This window comes from Homo sapiens, chromosome 3 (assembly GCF_000001405.40).
Source record: "Homo sapiens chromosome 3, GRCh38.p14 Primary Assembly".
NCBI lineage: Eukaryota > Metazoa > Chordata > Mammalia > Primates > Hominidae > Homo > Homo sapiens.
This window is the reverse complement of record NC_000003.12, coordinates 85,499,319-85,526,566: the sequence shown is the minus strand read 5'-3', so window position 1 is coordinate 85,526,566 and position 27,248 is coordinate 85,499,319. Positions and strand designations below refer to the sequence as shown.

The 27,248-nt window shown below is 33.6% G+C and overlaps 1 protein-coding gene across 15 annotated transcripts in view; it reads right to left on the bottom strand.

Moving 5' to 3' along the window:
- The window catches only part of CADM2 (cell adhesion molecule 2), a 1,115,441-nt gene that overhangs the window by 547,863 nt on the left and 540,330 nt on the right, over nt 1–27,248 (bottom strand). For 4 of the 15 annotated variants that reach the window (NM_001256504.2, NM_001256502.2, NM_001256505.2 and 1 more), the window contains exons 1-2: nt 21,317–21,951; nt 14,669–14,710 (exon numbers count right to left, since the gene is read on the bottom strand). The exons of 10 other annotated variants lie outside the window; for them this stretch is intronic. Coding sequence is in view for 1 of the 5 variants with exons in the window: in XM_017006062.3 (XP_016861551.1) it covers nt 14,669–14,710 (42 nt within the window). In the remaining 4 variants the exon portion in view is untranslated. Of the gene's footprint in view, nt 1–14,668; nt 14,711–21,316; nt 21,952–27,248 lie in introns of those variants that run through there. One more of the 15 variants, XM_017006062.3, reaches the window with a different exon arrangement.

Here is a 27,248-nt window from a genome sequence, read left to right as displayed (position 1 = left end):
AGGGATACATTCTTGGATTTTAATCCAGGTCATCTGACACAAGTCAGTGTTCCTCCTATTATATCGCATTCTTACATAGCATTACGCTTTTGTTTTGTTTTGTTGAAAACCTACTTCCATAATTCCTAGTATAAGGAGGCTTGGGATTTGAGAAGCTACATAACTGTGTGTGTGTATATTTGATATTGCCACATGAGATTTAAATTCCTGTTAGAACACTTGCAAAAAATCACTACATAAAGAACTACTCTCCTCTTATTTTGGAAGGCCAAAATTTAATAAAAAGGACCAGATTTACCTTCCTACTAAACAAACAAAATATATGAAATGCCAGCTTTCAAAACACTTGTTGTAAGGAAATAAAGGACAGTGAGCCTTGAAAGATCAAAGACAAATGGGATGAGGTATAAAATTTCCAATTTACTATATTGAGAGAATTTTCAAGTTCCACTAGAGGAACAGGAAATCCAGGAGAGGCCTGGCTGACTCACGAGGTGGCTACAGTTCTTAGAACAGGGTGTCAGAGAGAAAAGATAATTGATTTTTTAAAATAAAAATGATAATGATACAGTGTAAGGTTTATAACTATGTAAAGGTAAAAAGAATGGCAATAATAGCACAAATACTAGGAGAGAAGGAGAAGTATGAAATTGTGGGTTATTTTTCTTTATATTAAGTGGCATAATATTAATTAAAAGTACAGTGTGACAAATCAAAGATGTAAACTATACATCTTAAAGCAACTACTAAAATACTTTAAAAGAGTTTCACTGATAAACCCAAAAAGCGATTTAAAAAGAGTCATAAATAGCAAATCCAAAAGAACGCAAAAAAGAAGAAAATGGGAACAGAGAATAAATTAAGTTGACACATCAAAATAAGAAGATGATAAACTTAACCAAATAAATAATCATATTAGGTAGGAATGATTAAAAACCAAAGATTGTCCTAGTTAAGAGACAATGATTATCACATTGATAAAAATCAGGACCTAACTAACTATATGCTGCCTCCAAGGAACATATTTCAACTATAAAGACACAAATAGGATAAACTAAGACACAGCACACTACCACTAATAGAAGAAAGCTGGAAATAGTCACGACCAAGAATAACCTGAGGACATATGACTACTAAATATAATGTCAGCATCTTGGCTGTCATTCTGGAACAGGAAAATAGCACTAGATTAAAACTAAAGATCTGAATATAGCATGGGCTTTAGTTGAAAATAACCTAGCATGATTGGTTTACTGATTGTAAGAGATGTGACATATTAATGGTAGATGTAAATAACAGAAGAAATTGGATGCTGAATACATGAGGATTCTCCATTCAATCTTTGAATTTTTTCTGTAAATCTAAAACTATTTTAATATGTAAAACTTTATGTTTTATTTTTTAATTTTTTACTATACTTTAAGCTCTGGGATACACGTGCAGAACGTGCAGGTTTGTTACCTAGGTATACAGGTGCCATTGTGGTTTGCCGCACCCATCAGCCTGTCATCTACGTTATGTATTTCTCCTAATGCTATCCCTCCCCTAGCCCCCTACCACCTGGCAGGCCCTGATGTGTGATGTTCCACTCCCAAGGAAAGAAACATGAAGTAACTATATCAATATCAGGCAAAATAGGTTTCAAAACAATAAATACTACCATGAATGAAGAATATAATCTCTTAATGCAGGTATCAGTTCATCAGGAGGACATAAAAACACTAAGGATTTACACATGTAATATTGAGCATGTGTATTGAGTGTAAGCTCAAATACATAAAGCAAAACTAATGGAACTCTAAGGAGGAATAGACAAATCCATAATCACAGTCTGAAAATTTAAAACTCCTTTGCCAATAATTGACAGAAAAAATTAAGATAATATCAGTAAAGATATAGTAGACTTGAGCAACCTTATCAACTAATTTAATCAAAATTTTGGGAATATGCCACCCAACAGCAGTAGATTATACATTCTTCCCAAGTACCTGTAAAACATTTATGAAGATAGAACACGTGCTAAGCCATACAACAAATTTTATTGAATTTAAAAAGATTCAAGTCATATAAAGTATATTCTTTGAACAATGGCAGAAAGTTTTTTAGTAATATCCAACTATTGAAAACTAAATAGCAAACATATAAATAACTAAATGAAAATGAAAAACAAGGTGTCACAATGGGTAAAATGCCAGTACTTAGGAATGGAGTTATAGCACTGAGTACATTCGTTAAAACATAAGAAAGGTCTCAAATCAATGACATCATTCATATTAAGAAACTAGAAAAAGAAGAAAAAATTATACACAAAAAATAGAATAATAAAGATCAGTGTGGAAATTAATAAAATAGAAAACAGGACAACAAAGATAATCAATGAAATAAAAAGCTGCCTCTTTGGGAAGGCTCATAAAATCCATCAAACTTTAGTCAATTTATTTTGGGGATGGTAACTCACAAAGGCAAGACATTCCTAGTTTGATTACAGGTAGAGCTCCTTGTGGATGATCTTCACAGTGTTTGATGATTTCCTTATAACTTGGAAGCATATGTACATCTTGACATTCACAAGGTCTGTCCCTAAATAATTAACAATATTTTAAATTTATCTCTGATTTAGACAACCAATGAATGATCAATTTATTTTTTTGTTGGGCTACAGTGTACAAATGCATCCCTACTTATTTTCTGTTTATTTAAAATAGATCAACAAAACTCTGTTTTATCCATGCATTCAATTTTTCCTCTCTATGGATATACCTTTTTCATTATAGACCCCATATTGTTCTATACTTTAATAATGTGTTGCAGTAAAAAAGAAAGTAGTAAAATTGAAGATAATAAAATCAGTAAAAATGAAGTAAAAAGAAGATAATAAAATCAGTTTCCTATATAATGAATGAGACTCACTACTATTGATAAGTTATTATTATTTTCTTTTTTTACTGAGGATTGTTGTAATTGAAGCTCCAGAAAAAAATTTCAGATATCAAACAATTAGATACATATTTTGGAAAAGGAATCCTTTTCCTTGCCAATGGAAATTTACATGAGTTTTCCAGCCAAATATTTTCAGTTATCACTTTGATTGTTTAACATATACTTAAGCCCTTTATTTATATAATTATATTTTCCTGTTCAAACTGCCTTGAGTTATGTTTATTAACGAATTTTTACAAATGAAGAAAGAGATGCATAATTCATTTATCTTGCCCTAGCTTATGCACAAGTGATGACTCTGGGAATCCAAACTAGACACTCCTAACTCAAACTTCTGGGATGCAGCCTTCCTTCCTTTATCTCTGATTAGATTTGAAACAGAAATGTGTTTTGCCACTTATTAACTCACCATATATTGAAGGCTTTCTATTGCCAAGATGCTCTGCTTCAAGTGCAAGAAATAAATCAGGATGTGTGGGGATCTGCCCAAAGCCTTGTGTTACCTTCAAGTAGCTTACAGCTTGTAGGCAATATATACACACTAATGTAAATTTAATCTAGCAAATGTGTGGGGGTCTGATCAAAAGAAATATTTGTTGCTGTTTCCTCAAGTTTTCTTTTTTTTTTTTTTTTCTTGGAAAAGTAGGCTACAAATAATGTGGTCCTGTTTCTTGGTAGCAGCTGGGCTATAAAATTACATTGTGTTTCTTTCATTTCTCATACTAAATCCCTAATCATGGTGTTACCTGTGACCTCTCTTCTCTTTCTCCAAGAATTCCTGATGCTTGGGATACAGGAGCTATCAGCCCTGTGTCTTTCTATCACTCTGTAAACCCAAATTCCTCAGATTTGTATTTCTTGATACTTTCTCCCTTCCTATTTTAGACTTGAGAGTCAGTAAATGAGTATCTTCATTGCTCCTACAACAGGCAGCAAATTCACAAGCTTCTTGATTTCTTGGTGGAACAGAACAGAGAAACAGAATGGGATCCAAAAACAGTTAATATATGTGTTCTATGAACCTGTTTCTCTGGAACTACATTGTCCAGACTTGTTTATACTAATAACAATGACAATGAATTGCCATATGTAGTTTAAAAAGTCAATATTTGCTACATCACAATTTGACTACAGTATTAAGTTTCTGATCTTTATTTAATGGAATTACCTCTATGCTATAAAGAAATGGCAGAAATTGTCATTTATCTTACATCGACTTTGTGGGACGAACTGCATGAAGCATTTCTACAAACATGATTTAATTAACTCGCTTCAAATATAACAGAAAAAAGGTGAATTACCATCAGAAAAGGAAAAAATAAGTTTTGAAATATTTTCAGATTATTTTCAAAGTATTGTTAATCATTAATGTATTATTAATGTATAATTGGGCAAGGTGAATGAACAAACTAAAGGGAAGGCGAACAGGGAAGGGGACGGATAATATCGTGATGTATACTGCCTATCACCTAACAGAAAGTAAAACCTGAATGAATGAACAGAATAGTGAAGTGAGAAGAGATTAGTGGGATGAAATAGCTAAGACTTCTACAAAAATACAAAGGAAACAAAAATAAATACTGTCTTTGACATTAGAGGGTTATTTCCCCAAACCCATAAGCATTCCCTCAGAGACCTGTGAAAATCTTTTGCTAGCTAGCACGCCCCAGAAAAGCGACTGGTACTGCTCTGGACTCTCATTTCTGAGGGAGAGGGCAGAATCCCATCAGTAAGTGTGGTTCAGTGCAGCATTCATTTTCAGCTACTGAGTATCACCACCAAGAATACACAAAAAGTGCTTTCTATGTCCTTTTCGATTCTCACTGATTTCGAGTGACCTTCCGTAAATCTCTTAAATTCTCTGCCACAATTCCCTCACCCGTCAAATGTGAACGAATTCAATAAACTCACGGAATATGTAAATTAGCTACAGGGTTTTAAATTTTCTGCAGAAGATTGGTTATCTTAAATGCCCATTGTGTCTTAAATAATAATTAAGGGGCTTTAAAAATCCATTTTGCTTACTTTTGTTAATCTTTAATTACTTTTCATTTTCCAAATATTCACTTACAGAAAAGAATTGCTTTCAGGGAGAATCACATGCTTACAATCATGAAAGCAAACAAATCCTAAACAGTGCTGTTTCAGTAAACAAAGACGCAAACATAAAAGAGTGACCTAATCATCTCACTTAAATGCAAATGATATCGATAAGCGTATAGCCGTAAGTAGCTGATAGCACTGAGTGTAAAAACATAGTTAGCTTAGATCTATGAAGCTTTCATACATGGATATGTAATTCTTCTGGGGAAAAAGAGGCCATTTATTCAGTTATATAATGGATTTGCCTAAAATCAAGGAAAATAATAAAAATATATTACTGTGGCACATCCAAAGCTGAGGTGAGAATGCAAACAATCACAGAAATCTGTTCTAAAATAGCTGCTTTATTCCTAGAGTTTCATTTTTGAGGAAAAGTGGATTTACATAGGCTTTCTCTAAACAATTGCGTTCATTTTTACTTTGCTGAAGACGAATTAAGAAAAGTAGATCACTGAATAATTTTATGAGTTTACATAGGAAATCAGATGGTGTATCATGTAACTTCATGGCAATACTCATTTTTGTAGGTAAGTTATGTTGTACCACATTTTGTTTTATGGAATAGCATAAATTCTCACTGGAAACTGGCCATACTCAAGCTATCCTGATTATCACAGTTTAGTATACTAAGAAGCCATTCCAAAAACTTTTCCACCATGAAAAACAATACAATCCACCCCTTAATCTGCAATAATTTGGAATTAAACTCAGTTATTACTTAAAAACATGCATGTCCAAAAATACCTAGTTCAAATTTGCCCAGGTTCACTTTCATTTTTTTAATTAATGTATTTCTTTAAATAAATTTCTTAAGACAACCAGACAAATTTGTATTACTTTTTCCTCTCTGATATAAGCTAGAGATGACTGATAAATGTCTAATAGAAGATGAATCTATATAAACATCCAAATAGTTTCCTACAGCTATGACTCAAATAGGAAAGTGGCAATATTTTTTCTTCCTAAAAATATAATTGCAAGAATGCATTGACGCAATGCAAATAAAGTTTCTGTATCACAGTACATGGCACAGAGTAAGTGCTTAAAACATTATTTTCCTTCTTAGTAGTTATAAAAATTCAGAATTAGCATTGTACACATGGACTAAAATATTAATATATTTAGATATATATGCAGAAATCAACATATTTTGATCAGTTAGTGTGAAAATGTTTTCTTTACATTTGTGTTTCTTATATACTAAATAAAATAAATATTTTATATACATGACAATTTTCAATAAACAATATATAATAATCTGTATGCTACTTTTTTTAAAAGGACACTTTTTATGAAAATCCTTGTGAATTACATATGTAAATAATTCACAGATGATATTGTTCACTTTGAGTTCTAAACGAAAGAGTTGAAGTTTACCTCTGTAACAATGTCCTTTAATCAATCATAAACAATAATAAGCATATTATGCATATGAAATTAAAATGAATTAACATACTGATATTTTATAATAGTCTCCAGGGACAATAGTACTGTTGGTAGATTTTAGTGCATCTGATTGAGAAAATTAATGTTAATTGTTAATAAAAATACACATTCTGTTTTGCAACATATTTCACACTTTTTACTCAGTGGAGTGGAATCTTTCCTCATCAAGCAATCTCCTTACAAATTCGGTGGGTATAAAGATAAAATAAAACCTCTACGGGATTGCTTTCTCTAACTTGTATTCATATATTTAAAATAGTACCAGGAACTTTGCCAAAGTATTCACTATTTCTTCCGAATAGAAAATCAATGTAGCTGCGGGTTTACTTTAACTCTATAATTAACTCAATGTCATTTCTGTGTTTATATTGCATTGTAGTCATTAGCTTACAGTCCAAGCTCTTCTTAGAACTTTACTTACTAAAACATGTAAAAAGTTGATGTCGTGTTTATTAATATTATAATGAGTCAGGTTAAAATGACAAAAATGCTTCATTACACTAGCAAAATATAAGCCATACGATATTGGCTTTTTACAATGAATATGTTGGGTAAGTATTATTCCAATATAAACAAAAGAAACTAAACCACAGATCTAATTAGTGGAAGAACCAGGTTATATAATACAAATATTGATTTATGATTGCTATAACGATATAATTGAGTAAGTAATTGGCTGAGAATAAAATCCAATATGATTTTACAAAAGAAATAAGATTAAAAATAAAAAAACTAAGCATGACTTCGAGGGAAATATATCGCTCAAGTACATATTTATTTTGTATTCTTTACTTTGTAAAGGATTATCAAATATATATTACTGCTATAGTTGTCTAAGAAAGGCAAAAACGGGGTGCTTGTGCTACTACCTCCCTACTGCCATCATTTCCAAACAAGCGAGAATGTGGACTTGAAATGAATTAGAGATGAAAGTAATGACAAATGTATGCTCTGCCTAAACTAGACAATTTGTGTAATGCTCTATTATACATATATTTATAATTATTTACATTATACTATATTCCATGATTAAAGGGAATTAATAAAACAAATATGACTAGTCCTGAAGTACTCTGAAAAATATAGTATAACTTTCTTTTTTCAGGAATATGGTAGGCAGAATTCTAAAATGGCCCTGGTAGTAGGCTGGAAAAATGTTCCGTGAAGACATCCAATCTTAATTCCTGAAATCTGTAAATGTTATTTTATAAGAAAAAAATCTTTGCCGAGGTGACTAAATTGAAGATCTTGAGATGAAGAGATTATCCCAGATCATCTGGGTAGGCCTTAAATGCCATTACAATGTCCTTAATGAGAGTGTGGAAGAGGGAGACCATGAAAAAAGGAGGAGGCAAAGTGACCATGGAGGCAGAGACTGAAGTGATGCAGCCATAAGCCAGGGAATGCCAGCAGCCACCAGGAGTTGGAAGGGGCAAGGAACAGATTCCTCCCTTAAAACTCCAGAGGAAGCGTGGCCCCACGAACACTAATTTTTCCCAGGTGAAACTAATTTCAGACTTCCAGCTCCCAGAACTGTGAAAGAAAACATTTTTGCTCATATAAACAATAAGATGTGGTTACCTGGCAGTGGAGAGCTGATGTAACAAATACAAATGTAGAAGTAACTTTGGGATTTGATTTAAAAAAAAAAAAAAGCCTAGATTGTTTTAAACGAAATGTTGGTAAGAATATGAATGTTAAAGATGCTTTTGTTGAAGTCTGAGAAAGAAATGAAGAACATGTTATTGGAAACCAAAGTTGATTCTTAGTTTCAGAAAAACAGCTGAGGCTAGACGTGGTGGCCCATGCCTGTAATCCGAGCACTTTGGGAGACTGAGGTGGGAGGATCCCTAGAAGCCAAGAGTTTGAGACCAGCCTGGCTAACATGGCGAAAACCCATCTCTACTAAAAATATGAAACTTAGGCAGGTATGGTGGTGCGCACCTGTAGTCTCCAGGCAGGAGAATTGCTTGAACCCGGGAGGCAGAGATCGCAGTGAGCTGAGATTGTGCCACTGCACTCCAGCCTGGACAACAGAGAGAGACTCTGTCACACACACAAAAAAAGAAAACATAGCTGAATTGTGTCCTAGAGTCATGCATTTGTCTTTCTAAATAAGAAGAAAGTATTGAAAGAGGCCTATCACATAGGAACAAAAATGAGCACTATATTCGCCATACACTTAGAGCCATTCCCTACCCCTACAAAAATAAATAACTTAAATCAGTGTTTGAACCAGAGGTTAAATAATAAGTAAGAAATTATATTTGTCTCCATAATTTGATTCTGCCCACTATTTGGAAATGGGGTATAAGTACTAAATAAGCTGCTTTCTAAATAATTAATCTTTTATTATTCTAGTTGTCTTCATATATTTTTAATTAAACTAATGGGGAAATATTTGGAAAACATCTTCAATACTGTCTGCATAACTGTGCAGCTTGAAGAACAAAATAAAATCTAACAAAATTGAGTTTTAGAGTTAAGCATAGTCATGGCTGTCATCTTGTTAAAATCATGACGATATAATTCTAATGATATTGACAGCCTAAGATTCCTGAAATAATACAACTGAATCACTTAGGTTAGTACAGAGGGTATGTTTTCAGCTGAGATTAAATATATAAGTTGATATATATTCTCATTTACAATGGCACTTGGCTTAGAAATTGCCAAGGGCTATAAATCCTAGAATTCAAAATAATTTCTTAGTACTTTAATAATCTGAGATCTAAAACAACAAAATAATTCATTTGAAATAGATCCAGAACTTTTATTATTAAAGCTAAACCACAAGTAATGGTAGCATCAATAATTTTTTACAGTAAGCTTTTCTTGAAGTATTTTATGTATAAAAGTGAGTAAAATTGAAATTTAGTGTTTTTTTTTAAAAGATCTAACCATCACACAATAATAATTTTATTTTTCTTGAGCTAAGAGACTAGGTTATTATAGATCCATGATTGTGATTCTATAGATTATAAGATTATTCTTTTAAGCTTAAAATAACCAGAGTGGTGTAGTTGTCTTTATACTGTATACTATATACTAATATATTGTTAGAAAATTGTGCATAAATAAAAATGACAAAGTGTTCAAAGGAACAATAGAAAACAGGTATTCTGTGATCAGTTGGAAAAATTAAGGAAGTGAAAAGGATTTGAGTAAAATATAAACTGTAAATGGTATTAAATAAATAAATTTAATTTATTAATGTACCTTTGCATTTATTCAGTTGCCAATGTCTAACCATTGAAAGAGGTAGTTCAAAGGTACAATTTTGGAAGTATGATTTTAAAAATAAATTATTTTTGTCCATTTTGAAATTATTTGCCCCAGTTGAACTACCTTTCTTATATCTCTTTTTATAAATAATAGACCTATAATTGGATTGTGACGTTGAGAACATGTTTCATGTCATCTCTTTTGTATCTTAAGAAGTTGGCACAGATTCTGGGGAAAAAAGGCTACACTAAATATATACTGCTTATTTAAAAGACTACTATATGAAACTAATGGTTGTATTACTAAAATCTCTGGTAATTGAAAAGAGTATGATATTGAGCAATTAGTTTTAAAGGAAATTATGATTTTCCTTCTATTTTTTCTATCTACCTACCTACCTGCCTACCAACTTATTTATGTTTCCTTACTATAAGAAGAAGCTTGAGACAGATAATTTTTAATAAATAATTTGTGAAAGTCAATTCTGTTGTGTGGAATCTGGCATGGAACCAATACAGAGCTTTTATCAATAAAATAATCTAACAAATAAATCTATCACTAACAATAACAGAAATATTCATAACAGCCTAAAAATATGCCAAACACTATTCTGAGTAAAAGGAGCTCACAAAAGACAATGGAACACAGGATCTGCATTAGGAGAACTTTCAACTTCATGGGCCAAATTTGACCATGAATTGATTATTCACATCACAGACTCAAACATTTGAGGACTGTGGCATGGAAACTGAAATGATCATGAATATTATTAACATTTTCTTCTAAGTGCACATTCACTGCCCATTTGAAACTTTAAAATGCTTAATCACTTGTTATTACAGTTGTATTTGATTTCCTTTCCTTATGAGGATGACAAGTTTGTGTAGTTTAAAAATTAAAGCTGTCACTATTGTTTAATTACACAAACACAAAGGCTAAATTGCCTTATTTAATTTTAGAATAAGGAAATATGCATTGTCATTGCCTCATAAATCAGTAGTAATAGGAACATATTTAAATACATTTAACTTTAAGGAGGGGATGGCATATTTAGCCTGTTTCAAAGAAACACTTAGGGCCAAGCACAGTGGCTCATGTCTGTAATCCCAGGACTTTGGGAGGCTGAGGTGGGCGGACCACGAGGTCAGGAGTTCGAGGTCTGAGACCAGCCTGGCCAACATGGTGAAGCCCTGTCTCTACTAAAGATACAAAAAAAAAAAATATATATATATATATATATATTAGTGGGCGTGGTGGCACTCTCCTGTAGGGCGTGGTGGCACTCTCCTGTAATCCCAGCTACTCGGGAGGCTGAGGCAGGAGAATCGCTTGAACCCGGGGGCAGAGGTTGTTGTGAGCCGAGATCATGTCACTGCAATCCAGCCTGGGCAACAGAGCCAGACTCCATATAATAATAAAAAAAAAAAGAAACAAACAAACAAACAAAAGAAAAGAGAAACTCTTAGGTAGAAAAGAAAATCTAATGATGATGTTATCTTTGTTAACATCAAAAAAAGATGGTGTTATCTTCGAAAATCTAATGGCGATGTTATCTTTGTTAACTAATCTAAAAGGTGATGTTACATTTGTTAACTGATCTTATTCTCTTTCTCAAATTATAGCCTAAATGGGGTTCCCATTATTGTTTAGAGTATTATTCTGAGTAGACTAAGGTTACAACTTTGATTTCTAGGTCAGTCACTTAACAGATGCCCATCTGATGATTACAAAAGGATTGAGTTAACAAGAAATTAAGTGAGAGGGTATAAAACAGCCTAATTACCAAGAAAATATCTAAAGACTTTTTGTACTATTTTTATAACACCATTAGTTTTACTTCTATATGCAAAAGGACAGTATATCTTTGAAAAGTCTCCATAGAAAAGAAAGACATGCTTCTCTTTCAGTGAATGTGATTAATAGAATAGGGTAATAAAGATATACTTTATCACAGTGAATTAATCATGTCTATGCTGGATGAAACCCCCTAAAACTTTGGTGGAAAAGTAAAATCATTGCTTACCGAAATAGGAAAGGATAAAATGCTGAAGAAAGAAAAGTTAATTTCAAGCTTCAAGTAAGATATTATAGGTAATGGAGGTTAAAATAAAATTGAGATTATAAAAGCAATTAAGAATGTCCCTTTAAGGAGCAACTCATGAGAGACTGTGATAGCCTCAAATTGTTCATATTTGCATAGAAAAGGTCACAAGATATCATTGGATTGTTAACACTGAATAAGAGACTTTCTCAGAAAAGGGGAATCAGATGCATATCCCATTATAGGACATCAAGGTCTTCTTAGAGTTACAGTGCATGTAATCTCTACTATGATATTATATATATTGAATGTCCTTCCTAGGACAAACACATTTTTGCTTACATTTCAAAGATATTCTCTGCCCAGTAAAACCTTGATCAGAATTCTCTAATCCTCAGGATGATCACTCTTATATTTATCCTAAATCCCTGTGAGTACTCATATAAACCATGAAACAATGTGATCAGTTACAATTATGTAGGTTTTTATTGTTTTGAGGCATATTACAAAACGTGAATAGAGAATCAAATAAACAGTAGTGTCTGTCTCCAGGTATTATTCTCATTACAACTCTTTGTGTAATGTGGCAGGTTTAAAATACAATGACGAACATAGAAAAGCACATCATTCTGATAGTTCATATTGTTGTGTTTTCATTAATCCTCCAAGAACATTAAAAGAAAAAAATTGCTAATTGAAAAAAATGACTCTAGATGCCCTGGCACATGAAAGAATTATGTCATTGTAAGAAGTAAGTGATTCAAAGAGTTTGTCCATTGCCATTCTTATAGAAGTTAACGATGCTTGACCCAGTCTATAGACATTTGTTTGAGCAAAGACATATACAATTGCTAATACTAATAGCTATATTCAAATAACAATAACATTCTTCTGGTAAGGGTTTATATCATAAGAGTAAGTCAAATTGTATGTTGAATATCAAGAAAGAGCATCTGCTTGGAGTACATTAAACAACAACAGATGTTGCTAAATCAAATAACTATCAATCTTAGACTCATAATGTCATTGTTGGGTATTTACATTCAAAGTATAGCCTCAAATGGACAAGGAACATATATCATGCAGTCTAGAATGCTTACATTAAGTAAAGCATCAATTAACTGGAATCCAACTAACAGTTTATGCCAAAAAAGTTTTTTCTACTCTTTATTTAAAGGAAAATGACAAAAGCCAATAAAATAAGCTGATTTATAATATGATAAAGAATATTTTGCTGTTGAGGTTTTTATTTCTTTGGTTTACATTTTTACTTGTTTGGGTAAAAGCACGTATTCATATATTTTTCATTTTCATGTTGTTTTATTAGATCATCTACTACAAAGGACCCCAGAGATGTGGCATAATGTATAATCATCAAAAAAAAGTAAATTATTATTTACTATCAAACTATTATAAATGAATGACGATGGGTCTTGATTAATTAAAATACTTTGTCCTTTTTTTCTGAGAAGGCAAAATGAGACTTTGCCTTCCCTTTCAGCATTGCAGGACTCAAGAGTACAAAATTCTAAAGCCATGTAGATTCCTTAACTACCAATTTGAGGACTTTGTTCCAAAAAGAACTAATTTTGGTTTTGCATCTCTAAAAATGCCTGCCTATACTGGATAGAATATGCTTCTACAAACTTGAATTCTCATGGCCTCCAACTTAAGCATGAAATAAGCAGGCTAAATTTAAAATAATTATAAGCAATCTTCTATTTTGGAAGCAGAACAAATATTTTTTAGAATATATTAATTTAGATATTACACGTATCTCTAGAAAGCATTGGAACATGTGTTTCCTCATAACTATGATTAAACTTGGCCTCTTCTCTAAGTTGTGAATGCAAAACTAGCATGTTAAAATAGAATTTGATTTAGTTTACAAAAAGCAATATTGTGAATTTTACAGACAATCCATATTTTCCCTAGGGAAATGATTGATTCATTTTTTACAGAGAAGTTTATTCCTTATATGTTTTTAACTAATCTTCAGAATGATAAATAATATTTATTAATAGTCCTCAATTTTTTCTGTTGTATGTATGATCTTTACAAACTGTTCATTCTTTAAAATCAATGTGTATATGAAGTATCTTTTTGTATTTGAAAATCACTTCTTTTTTATATTTTATTTTTAGATGCAATACATGCTGCAAAAATATAAATTTGCACATTGCTAACAAAGTAGTTTTGCATTTAAAATTTATTCTAATTTGCATTTCTTACTTTAAGAATAAATCCTTTAATAATATTAGCAGTTAATAAATATTTTAGAAATTCCATATAATACAGAGATTGAGTTTACTGAATTGATGTCATAACAAAACAAACACCAAAATGAATATTGGTCATTGAGGCATTACTCACAATAACAAAGACATGAAATCAACGGTCTATTGGATAAAGAAAATCTGGTGCACATACACCACGGAATACTATTTAGCCATAAAAAAGAACAAAATCATGCCCTTTGCAGCAACATTGTTTCAGCTGGAGGCCATTCTCCTAAGTGAATTAATGCAGGAGCAGAAAACTAAATATAGCCTGTTCTCACTTATAAGTGGGAGCTTGGGAGCTAAACATTGGGTACAAATGGACATAAAGATGGGAATAACAGACAATGGGGGACTACCAGAGTAGGGAGAGTGGAAGAGAAGAAAGTGCTGAAAAACTACCTATTAGCCTCTCTGCTCACTACCTGGGTGATGGGGATCAATATACTCCAAAATTCAGCATCATGCAATGCATCCATCTAACAAACCTGTACATGTACCCTGTGAATGTAATGAGAGTTGAAAAAAATTTTAAAAGAACATTGGCTTTAAAACATTTTTTTCAAAACCACATATATATTTATATATTGAACATTGCTATAAGATATAATTTCACCACTTTTTCTTGTTTTACCTTGATGCAGTCTGATTACACTGGAATGATTAATGTGCTTACCTAAAACAGAAAGAAATAAAACATGCCATTAGTTTCAAAGGGATATTATTTCGAAGTTTGCAGTGGACAAAATGAGAGATGGTGGATTACAGTCACAATTCTCATTCCAACCTCTATTTTCTTTTGCACCCCGGAGATCTTTATGATGTGACACAATCAAATGGAATGTTGTTTCCAAAAATGCATAGTCAAAAGAACCTTTATAGATGCCTTGGTGGCAAATACGTTTTTATTGAGTTGAAGACATCTATTTTTGTCAGTTCTTTCCTGCCACCAGCATACAATGTATCAAATAAAAAACATTGGTGGAATTGTATTACTTTCCAAAACAGCTTAGAAACATCCTTATTACAAATGTATTATTTCTGGTGTTACTACAGTATCATTCATACTATCCACATTTACTTTCCTGAAAAATTTTAAAAAACAGGTCTGTTTAGAATCAGGTTCAGTAACAATGCAGTGGAAATAACAAAGTATGTAAAGAATTACACTGTTTGCAAATTACAAGCACAAGTATAGGTCTGTGGTAAGACTGGAAATGTCACATTTTACTCTTCTATCCTAGTAAATTAGAAGGTAAAGTTAAATAAATTGTTCTGTTTTACAGAGCATTTATGATCCTTACAAGTGGATATTTTCCTGTGTTCCCACCCATATCCAATTTGAGAAAGTAGCCAAAACCTATAGGGCATATTGGTCCCTTCCTAGGGGTGAGGTGTGCTTTTAAACCGGGGTAGTTTACATCAACTGAAGTGTGAGGGTAGGCATTCGAAAGGTCTAACGTGTGAAATATTAGTTGAGTACCTTATTGGGGTTATAAATGTTTTAAAATTACATTTAAAATTCCAATATAATTACATCTATGCACTTATGAACTGCTTACTCTTGTATAACCCTTGGAAATCTATGTTTTGTATTGGATATTGGAAACTAGAGCTTATGAACCCTCATTACATTACTTATTTTTAATGTCTACTATTTTTTGATTGCCTTGTGACCAGGAATTATATTTATCCTTTTAATACAATACCTAGCACAGTATTACATATGAAGTAGAAACTCAATTGTTTTTATAAAATAAATAAATAGATAGATGAATGAAAGACTAATTGAACTAATCACATAGGAAAGCAAAAAATCAGTGAGTTAAGTGAGTTAACTGAGTGAGTTAAGTGAGTATCCAATAAAATCTAGGAGAGTTGAATATTGAATACATAGGTATATTGGTTTATTTTATTGACTGGTTATTTAACTTCGTAAAGCTCAAACAAAACAAAATTTCATTAAAATTAAAAAAATTAAAACTGAAAAAAGCAAAAGTGTTTTGTGGTTCAATAAACTGCAATGTCACATCAATAGGACATTAGAGAGCAATTTTAGGCAATTTTCGGAATGTAAAACAAATTGCTATTTACCAATAAAAATGTAATTCATTTTACATAATGTCTGTTTTGAGAGGAAGAATTTCTAATTGGAATATGCTGATTTTCCAATTAACATGGTTAAGGCAGATTTGCACATTTTACGTCAGTTGCAGTTTTCTTGTGTTGTAAAATGGTAGATGTACAGGTAGCTTCCTTTGTTTCTTTTGTATTTATCTCAAAGGGACTTCTGAAGAATTCTAAAGCAGGAAAAAATATTCTTAGATACACATAGCTCCTTATAAAGGAGATTCATGAGCACCCTATAATTATTTTCTACCACAATTTTGACCAATTACTATTCCATTTTTTCTTCCTTCATGGAGTGATTTTGCTTATAAGTATTTCTTTTCTTTCTTTGTTCCATTATACATATTTGAGATCATCTGGGCAGTGAGCCCACATTGCTTTATTTTTTTGTTTATTACTTGTAGACTGTCCTAGATTCTTGTGAGAGGGCATATTCTAAATTATTATTACCATGATTATAGGAATATTGGCACTCTGTGAGATTTTAATATAAGAAGATTCTTCCATTATTTTATAATAAGCTAAATACTATATATATTTATTGGAGTGCTACTTTAAATGGATAGAGTATTTAATTTTAATATTGCCTGACTCTCTAAACTGTGTTCAGGAAGCAGTATGATTTTAACTGTGCCAGGCTGTTTCCTAAAACCAGAAACCTATTTATATAGCGGTTTTAATTCATTTTTGATATAACTATTTATTATTGTCACACATCTCACAATGCTTTTCTGTAAAATAGGATATTGCTAACAAACCATCACTTTTAATGTCACGCAGACCATCACTGCCCTCATGGATGGAAACCATAATTAAATTTATATTACAGACATGAGGTATAATATTTAAAAAGCTAAAAACAGTTAATGTAACTTGAATCTGTTAAACATGTCATTTAATTGTGTGTATACCTATTTTTCTGAAATGCAGTCACTGGAGAAAGCTAAATAGTATATCAATTTCCTAACCAGGCCACAGTAGCCTACCAGGATATAAATTGCAATATTGTTTGGACCATGATCGTGATAGTGATACCATAAGGGATTATGTTTCCAAAATGATGTGCTGGCTGGTTCTTATAGAAACCCTGTGTCAAAATAGTTCATAACAATTTCTACTTTCCCCTACTATAGTTTATTTATAACTGCCACCACCCTCTTCCTGCTACTGCCCCCAGCTTTTGGATGCTGGATATAGCATTTAAGATTGGAAAGAACTTAGGTAAGTTTTAGTTCAGCTCTCATGTTTTAAATGTCAAATAGTAAAGTCTAGAGATTTGGTTAGCGTCCCATAGCTCTTGAACTCTAGTTCAACAGTCTTTTCAGGTTACTTTGGAGATCATCATTCCTTTTTCTTTCTTTCAAAAGCAACACATTCTTCATAAAAACATCAATTAAAATATGATTTAATATATTCACAGAATTCTTGTGACATATGCACATTTAGGGCTAAAATTTAAATAGAAATATTTTGGCTTCATGTTGGACATTGATCTCCAGCCACTGTTTCTGGTAAACATGGGCGTGTACACCCTCAATACACACACACACACACACACACACACATACACACACAGAGATATCCTTTCAGGATGAGGCTCTTCGTTTTCACTCAGAAAATTCACTCTGTTCTTTTCCCACTTTGCACTCAGGTTTTAAAATCTCTAAAGTCCTAAACTACTGGGCTTATTCATTATTAAACTTAAAACAAGACCAAAGAATTTTCCTTTATACATTTACCTGATTCCCACTGAGACTTCTTTTCTCAGATAAGGAGATACTAATCTTCTAGCCGAAAGCATTTCCCATATTTTATTTTGCCCTTTGAGTTCTTTTATTCCAGAACCCATTCTTTCTCACTTTAATTGAGGCTTTTACTGTCACCTTAACCCCTCTCAGGTCCAACATCCAAGTAGCTGGAAGTAGAAAAAGTGTTTGCCTTTTTAAAGTGTAGTCTCTGTTTCTGCACAAGGGTTAGCAACCAACTTGCTTATGCACAGCTAAACTGTCTGTCTCTTCACAGAATACACATTATTTAGATCATAGTATAAGACAGAGACCAGGAAACTGTTTCTACAAAGAGTCATAGTTTGCTGACTACTGGGATAGGTTATTTTGGGGGGGAAATGTCTAATAATATGTAATTCATCAAATAATAATATTGTGGTTATCAGGTGAAATAGTAGGTCATAAAAAGCCAAAGGATATAATACAGAAAACAATACGTGCTCATGGAGGCCTATTTCTGAAGCGAAATAGGACAGTCCATGAAGGCAAGTCCAAGATTTCACCTCTTTGTACTTTCTTTCCTGATCTATATATTGAAGGCAGTTGGAATAGATAATCTTCAAAGATCTTTCCACTGGGACATGTTGAGACATGTAAGAAATCATTACTATTGATAAGGAGACTCACTATTGTGCCAAAATAAGCAAAAATGCATATCCAAGGCAAAATTCATCAGATATCTATAGTTTTTTACAACTCAGGTAAACAGTAACTGCACTTTTAAAAAGTGCAAGAACATTTTATTTGTAATTGCATACCTAGATGCTGCCACAAGTGTAAAATTGGTTAAATTATCCCCCAGAAACAGATATGCTTATTAACTTTCTTTGATACATTTTGAGAGCATGAGAAAATATTGATATGTAAAAATCCTTAAATATAATATTGCTGAGGAGCACAAAAGTTTAAATTCTTCTTTCTTTCACTCTCTCATTTAAACACCATGGAGGGCCCTAGAGTTATGAAGACAAATATGTTAACTAAGATTATATTCCTTGAAGAAATGATTGCCTAATGGAGGAGCTAAACTTGCAAAGTGACAGATCATATGGATTTCAAATAATGTTTGGATATAAATAATGTTTCATAACAAAGATATAATGTATTTTTTTGTTGTCGTTTAAAAAGGCCGGGCATGGTGGCTCACGCCTGTAATTCCAGCACTTTGGGAGGCTGAGGCAGGCGGATCACTTGGGATCAGGAGTTTAAGACCAGCCTGACCAACATGGTGAAACCCCATGTCTACTAAAAATACAAAAAACTAGCCAGGCATGGTGGTGCACGCCTATAGCCCCAGTTACTTGGGAGGCTGAGACAGGAGAATCGTTTGAACATGGGAGGGAGGTGGAGGTTGCAATAAGCCGAGATCGCACCACTGCACTCCAGCCTGGGTGACACAGCAAGATTCTGTCTCAAAAAAAAAAAAAAAAAAATACACTGGGTGACAGGGCAAAAACCTTTCTTAAAATAATAAGTACATATGGATTCTTTTTCACAGAAATAACTTTACAAATATTATATATCTGCATAGCTGAATTTAAATACAAACTTGGAAACACATTCTCCTGGTTACCTTCATACATTTATTTTACTATCATAATTAATGTTTTTCATACTTAAAAACCTTGTTTTAGATAAATTATTCTGTAGCATAGTGCTTTAAAGTAAATAACTTAAGTGTTAGAATATTTATTTTTGGGACTATAACATTTAAAATGTTGGGCAAAACACTGTATTTTTGGTAGTTAATTCTATAATGATAATTTTACTTTTAATAAAAGAGAGGAATTGTAGTGCAAAAATTATTGAAATTACCATGCCAGTATTTCATCTTTCATGAAGTATATATCAGTTAAAAAGAATTAACATGAATCCAAAAACACAAAGGCCAAACAGACTGAGGAGTAAATAGCAGAAGCCATGGGGTATGGTGTGTGCCTGTAGTCCTAGCTTTTTGGGAAGCTAACGCAGGAGGATCTACTTGAGCTCAGGAGTTGGAGTCCAGCCTGGGCAACATAGTGATATCCCGGCTCTTAAAAAAATAAAAAAAAAATCAGAAGACTTTTGTGTAATTAAAATACAAACTCTGAAATTATTTCATTTTAAATTTATGCTGTGTTCATTTTACATTTCAACACATGCTGCTGAATTTTAACATGTTATTGAAAACTATCAGGAATAAGGCTGGAAAGTTAATGTTGCATGTCCTGGTCCAATTCATACATTCTAAATAGATGTCAAACTTATACACATCACTGGGGCTGGTCAAACTTGTTTATAACATTTAGATCTTCTCTGACTTTGACTTTCCACTGACTTTGAGAGTTACAAGCTAAAGAGCAGCTAAATTAAGCAGAACAAAACAAACAACACAAAGTGAAAAAGAACACTGAAGTCCAAATCTACTTGTTTACTTTGTATATGCTGCCCTTATCTCCACAATTTACCTGATGCACAAAACAATAGGCACCAAATAATGATGATGAAAATAATGCAGGGGAAATAGTTTACTCCTCTGTACACCCTGGTGCTGATAGTAGAAATTGCAGTAGTATTATAATGCAAGTTTTAATTGTCTTTTGCCTTATCAAACAAAAGGATCAGATTTGACTATTCTAAAAAAGAAGGACTGTAAGAATTGTGGACATGTCAGATAAAGGAAAACTTGACCTATAGCAAAAAAATATTAAAGCTGAAATTATGAATTTAACATACCAAAAAAACCCAAAAACAATAACCGAAAGCAAAAATACCAAACATGTTTCATTGCTGTTTGACTAGAGCTAACATATGTTTAATTCAAAGAAGATGGAAAATCAATTACTGCATTCTTAATGTTTCCAATATTTACAACACTCTTGATCAATTAATTGTCCTACTTGTCTTTATGATACTCCTGTCATTGACTGGTACACAGATAAAAGTTTGTATAATCATAGAATGTAATATATCTCTAACATATGATGGCTACTTTATGACAAAGGTTCTGTGACTTAGTTGCATACCCTAACTGCCTGGAGAGCTCTAAATCAAAAGCAAAACACATTAATGTTATCCCACACCAAGTGTTTGGGATTTAATTGGTATAATCAGAAACATTCTTCTGTATGTTTCAGAACCTCCACAGGTGGTTCTGATGAACAGCAGAGAGGAGAACTTTACCTAAGGTCTCAAATGTGGGCTCAGTTTATTTGCTGTTACTGTGTTAATCAATGATTCCCCTCCTAGATTTTCAGTTTTTGGCTACACCCCAGAGGAAAGAAATGCACTGTGTAATGTGATCCTGTGAGCACATTTGTATATATGAATATACGCATATATACTGAACTGAAACACAAGTTACATAAAACAATAACCTTTCTTACACTTGTGATATTGAGAGGTGACAGCGTGCTGGCAGTCCTCAGAGCCCTCCCTCGCTCTCGGCGCCTCCTCTGCCTGGGCTCCCACTTTGGCGGCACTTGAGAGCCCTTCAGCCCGCCGCTGCACTGTGGGAGCCCCCTCCTGGGCTGGCCAAGGCCGGAGCCGGCTCCCTCAGCTTGCAGGGAGGTGTGGAGGGAGAGGCGCCAGCGGGAACCGGGGCTGCGCGCGGCGCTTCCGGGCCAGCTGGAGTTCCGGGTGGGCGTGGGCTTGGCGGGCCCCGCACGCGAAGCAGCCGGCCGGCCCTGCCGGCCCCGGGCAATGAGGGGCTTAGCACCCGGGCCAGCGGCTGCGGAGGGTGTACTGGGTCCCCCAGCAGTGCCGGCCCACCGGCGCTGCGCTCTATTTCTCGCCGGGCCTTAGCTGCCTTCCCGCGGGGCAGGGCTCGGGACCTGCAGACCGCCATGCCTGAGCCTCCCACCCCCTCCGTGGGCTCCTGTGCGGCCCGAGCCTCCCCGATGAGCGCCGCCCCCTGCTCCACGGAGCCCAGTCCCATCGACCACCCAAGGGCTGCGGAGTGCGGGCGCACGGCGCGGGACTGGCAGGCAGCTCCACCTGCAGCCCCGGTGAGGTATCTACTGGGTGAAGCCAGCTGGGCTCCTGAATTTGATGGGGACATGGAGAAGCTTGGTGTCTAACTCAGGCATTGTAAATGCACCAATCAGCGCCCTGTCAAAACAGACCACTCGGCTCTACCAATCAGCAGGATGTGGTGGGGCCAGATAAGAGAATAACAGCAGGCTGCCCGAGCAGCAGTGACAACCCGCTCCGGTCCCCTTCCGCAGTGTGGAAGCTTTGTTCTTTTGCTCTTTGCAGTAAATCTTGCCACTGCTCACTCTTTGGGTCCACACTGCCTTTATGAGCTGTAACACCGCGAAGGTCTGCAGCTTCACTCCTGAAGCCAGCGAGACCACGAGCCCACCGGGAGGAAGGAACAACTCCAGACGCGCCACCTTAAGAGCTATAACACTCACCGCGAAGGTCTGCAGCTTCACTCCTGAGCCAGCGAGACCACGAACCCACCAGAAGGAAGAAACTCCGAACACATCTGAACATCAGAAGGAACAAACTCCGGACACGCCGCCTTTAAGAACTGTAACACTCACCGCGAGGGTCAGCGGCTTCTATTCTTTAAGTCAGTAAGACCAAGAACCCACCAAGTCCGGACACAATATTTTCTATTATCTATGTTTGATTCTTGTCATAAACATCTGAACTGTTAAGGTAATTCACTAATGGATCACAATCTGCACTTCGAAAATTACTGGACACTTCTTATTCACACGTAATACATTCTGCCTTAACACAGTGCACTCTAAGAGAATTAATGAAATGCAGAAAAGACTATAGGTTTGTAAAATTCACTCAGCAAAGTCATTCATTGTGTTGCTTAGGTACATAATATTTCAAAAACTAAGCTTCACTGAGCATCTGTATTGACCACTTTGAAGTGATAGTTTTATAGCTGGATCTTCCTACATCATGTACTATCTGAACACATCACACTAGTTTTGATCGTTTGGTCTCATTAACTCCAATTATCCAAATTGGTATGTAGGGAAATATACAATACGGTGTTGACAGTTCATAAGTATTTGACTATTAATGTGTTGTCTATAAAATACTCAACCTACTCAGGAAACACAATTCTTCAAAGAAATAATAAAAGAATGATCCAGCATGATCTAGATTGTGTTACATTCAAATAAAGAAAAATAATGCAAAACAATGCAACCTAACCTACCATTAAATTTCTAAGTAATGACCAAAATCCTTAGCTTTATACATGCATTATTTAAAATTATGAAACCCAGGAGACTTATTTACAATTCATCCTTAAATAGTGGAATAAAAATCAATATAACTGTTTTGTCAATGCATTTGACTTCCTGAGCATATTTTCCAACAGAAGCATGCTTATGCAAATCCAGAAATGAAATGTTAAAAATTCAGAAATCAAAATATTTCTTTAAATAAACTTGTTGAGAAATTTTTTACTCAGTAAACATTTTTAACATCCACTGAGTTTTCTTAATTCCACTATTTTTCTGAATTGTCATTTCTTCATATAAAAATATTTGAATAAGTAAAACTTTATGTTAGGAGTATATGTAAGTATGTGTGGCTACCATTTCAACTAAAACTTAGGGTGGGAACCTATCTGAGGATCTTTTTTAAAGCTGGATACCTTATAGAACTTGTAAAATAAAAATCTTTTTTTCTTTTACAATCTTTTACAATTTTTCTTTTACAATCTTTTAAAAAGGGATCTATATCACTTAAATCCTCAAAAAAAGGTTATATCATGAGGGAATAGAAGAAATACTTTCTGTTGACATAAACAGTAATTGATAAGGTTTTCTTGAATACTTTTATAGAAATGCTGATGTATTACACTTAAGATTACTAGTTAGCTCTCATTTCCTTTCAACTTTTGCCTCTGGATAAGCTCAACTATTCCCAGGAAGAAACAGTGATCAAGTACATTTGTCATGCGAGCAGCTATAATAAGGTAATTCATCATAATCTGTCAGAGTTTTATTCTAGAAAGACTGCTACATTTTTTTTCTTACTTAAAAATCTGCTGTCACTCCTGTTGAAAATTTGGTAGACATTTTGGACATGTTTAAAAGCCCTTCCAAACTGATAGTTGCAGATAATTAAGTTATTGGCTATCAAAGATTCTTTTTCTCTTTTTCTTTTTCTTTTTTTTTAACAATATATATGACACTATGAACCCTTCTAGCTAGTTTAATCTGACCTGTTCACAGAGCATGATCCCTCATTCCCTTTCCTTTTTCCTCCTTAAGAGTAGCCAACGACCAAAGTAATTCACAATGACAAATGAAGCCTTTCTCAAGAGTCTAATTGAGCAATTTTGTTTTCCTTTGCAAGACCTGAAATCTACAGCATTCTGAACTCCATTCACTGAAGTGGCAAGAGATAGTGGTCAGAAGGAAACTAGGTGGATTAAGGGGTTTCTAGAAAACAAGTAAATAAACTCTACCTAGGTGTGACATCTTACATCTCAGTAATATTTCAATTCATCTACTCAATTACTTACTCCGTGTATCCTTTACTTTAAGCCATTTTTAATAAAGTTTCATTGTGATGTGTACTTTATTGAATCCTAAAGTCTCAGTCACTACTCTCTCATTCTTTTGTAATACTTCCTGCATTTTTTCAGCGTTTAAATTCATGCTTTCTTAGAAGAAGAATTATATTAGTCTTTTCTCTAGCCAATTGTGTGATATCCTTTTGTACTACCTTAGAGATAGACTGTGTTTGGCTTAAGGACAAGAAAGGAGATATAATAAATGTTTTAATTGGCTTTTCAAAAAATTTACATTATTCTCATACAATGTACATTTTATACATTAACTGATTATCAAACCCAAGAGCATGTTCTCATTGGTAGCAACCACTGGCAAAGTATTAAACGAAGATATACATATATGTGCATATTCAAATATATATGTGCGTATATATACATGTATGTAATGTTTTAATGACTGCTAAATACAAAAGAATATGTAAATACATATTGAAGTATAAATTATGATATAAATATATTGTTATTCTCTTCTAGTAATTTGAATTTAAGTTGTCTGGTGTCATATATTTTCAAGCTAACTGGTAATAATATTTTTAAAAATTCATACAACGTTAGGTCTCTTACAATTCTTTATTCTCTCATTCCAAAATATTTATTGAGTACCTGCTGTGTTGATAATACTATTTCATCTCAAGGAAGGCTTGGTAAATTCCTGTGAAAAATGTTATTTTTCCTAACTTAACAAAGGATGGAAGCATAGGTGAAAATGGTTTACTCTGCATCAGGTAGGCATTTACACAAAATCTAAGGCTTAAGTGTCATTCTGCTCAATCTTTTCTCTAATATTTAAGGAGAAGATACTTAAAACTTTTAAAGTCATTGACATTTAATACCAATCTTTCAAGTAAAATAGATGTTACATTATCCTAATCACCACATTTTAATTATTTTATTTGCTTTGACCAAATCATTAAAGGCTTGATATAAAGATGTGCAAATAAGTAAAACTGAATTGAAATCATTATATGAGTACTTCAGATTTTTGGTTGGTAATCTGAAAACAACTGGTGACATTCGTTTATATTTTAATAAATTTAAATGTAATGGTTTTAATAATTTCTGTGGATATTTAATAATATCTTTGGCTATGTTTTCACATATATCCACAGAAATTGAATGAGGGAAATGCCCATTTTGGCTTTGATGGTCTAAGAGCTTAATTGCAAAACTCCCTTTGAAAATCAAGACCTTGAGAAATTTCAGTGACTGCATGGCAAACATAATCTCAACAATAGGAAGTGTTCACATCAAGTAAAAAGTAGCAGGCTGGGCACGGTGGCTCACACCTGTAATCCCAGAACTTTGGGAGGCCGAGGCAAGCGGATCACGAGGTCAGGAGATCGAGACCATCCTGGCTAACACGGGGAAACCTCATCTCCACTAAAAATACAAAAAATCAGCCAGGCATAGTAGCGGGCACCTGTAGTCCTAGCTACTTGGGAGACTGAGGCAGGAGAATGACGTGAACCCTGGAGAGGGAGCTTGCAGTGAGCTGAGATCATGCCACTGCACTCCACCCTGGCCAACAGAGCGACACTCCGTCTCAAAAAAAAAAAAATTCCACCTATGAAAAAATATATCAGAAATGAAGTTTATTTCATCAAAACCAATAAGCCATCAATTATAAGACACACCATTATTTTATGTATTACTAAGAGATGAAACTTTACCAATTAAAGTATAATATATCATTTATAATCAAACATTCCAATTTCGGAGCTGGAAACTGTTGCAAACATATGCATTTTTAAACTGATTAACTAGAGCATTTTTACCATTTTTTTATAGAAAATAAACTATGATTCCTGAAAAAATATATATTCTGCTGTTTTACTGCCTAAAAAACCAAAAAGTTTAAAGAAGCGCTGGATAAATAATGCAATTTTGTTCACCAAACCTTTCACAGAATGTTAGGAAAAACTGAACTGAAAAGCATATAGAGGTAAAATAGTTTCTTTTGGCAATACACAAATAAATGCTCTCCCTAATATTATTATTTTGGGACTCTATTCACAACTGTAATTACTGAGTAATAAATTAAAAGTTGAATCAATAGGCCAAGTCTTTCTATCATAACATTTGTAAAACATATCAGTAATTGTAGAACTAAGCAGCACTCTACTCATTCTTTCAATATTTTGAAAACTTGAAATCTATCTGGTTTTCTGAAAAATCTTATCAGTTTTCCACATAAGGTTTAATTCATGTGATGTCTATTTTGGAAACCCAGGGAAGGAATTCTTAGACATCAGGAAAAGCAGCCTAATTTTGCTCCTTGCTAGGAAAAGCTGTAAAATAATTAAATCTTAAGACAGCCTAAGGTTGCTCCATCAATAATGTCCCCGCTACCATAACATTAGGAAAGAAAATAGAAACACCTTACTTTCTTTTCCCAACTGTATCTTAAAAAGGTACATGAATCCAAATCAAAGGAACGCATTCATCTGTATAAGAAGTATTAAAATGAAATACTTAAAATATATAAAATTTTAGAATTAAATTACTACTTGATAGATTATTTAATAATACATTAATATTAATTTATGTAATATAAATTAATTATAATCATAAATATATTTAAGCTAAAATTAATTTCATTTGTCACACACACACAACAGTGGCCGATAATTGCCAATGAGAATGTCAGAGTTTATAATTGAGACAATTTGAGTGTCAAAATAGTAGATCTACCAAGGGAACTTTAGAGCAGCTTAACCAGTAGGAGATCTTTAAATACCTGACCTCTTTACTACAAACCAAAA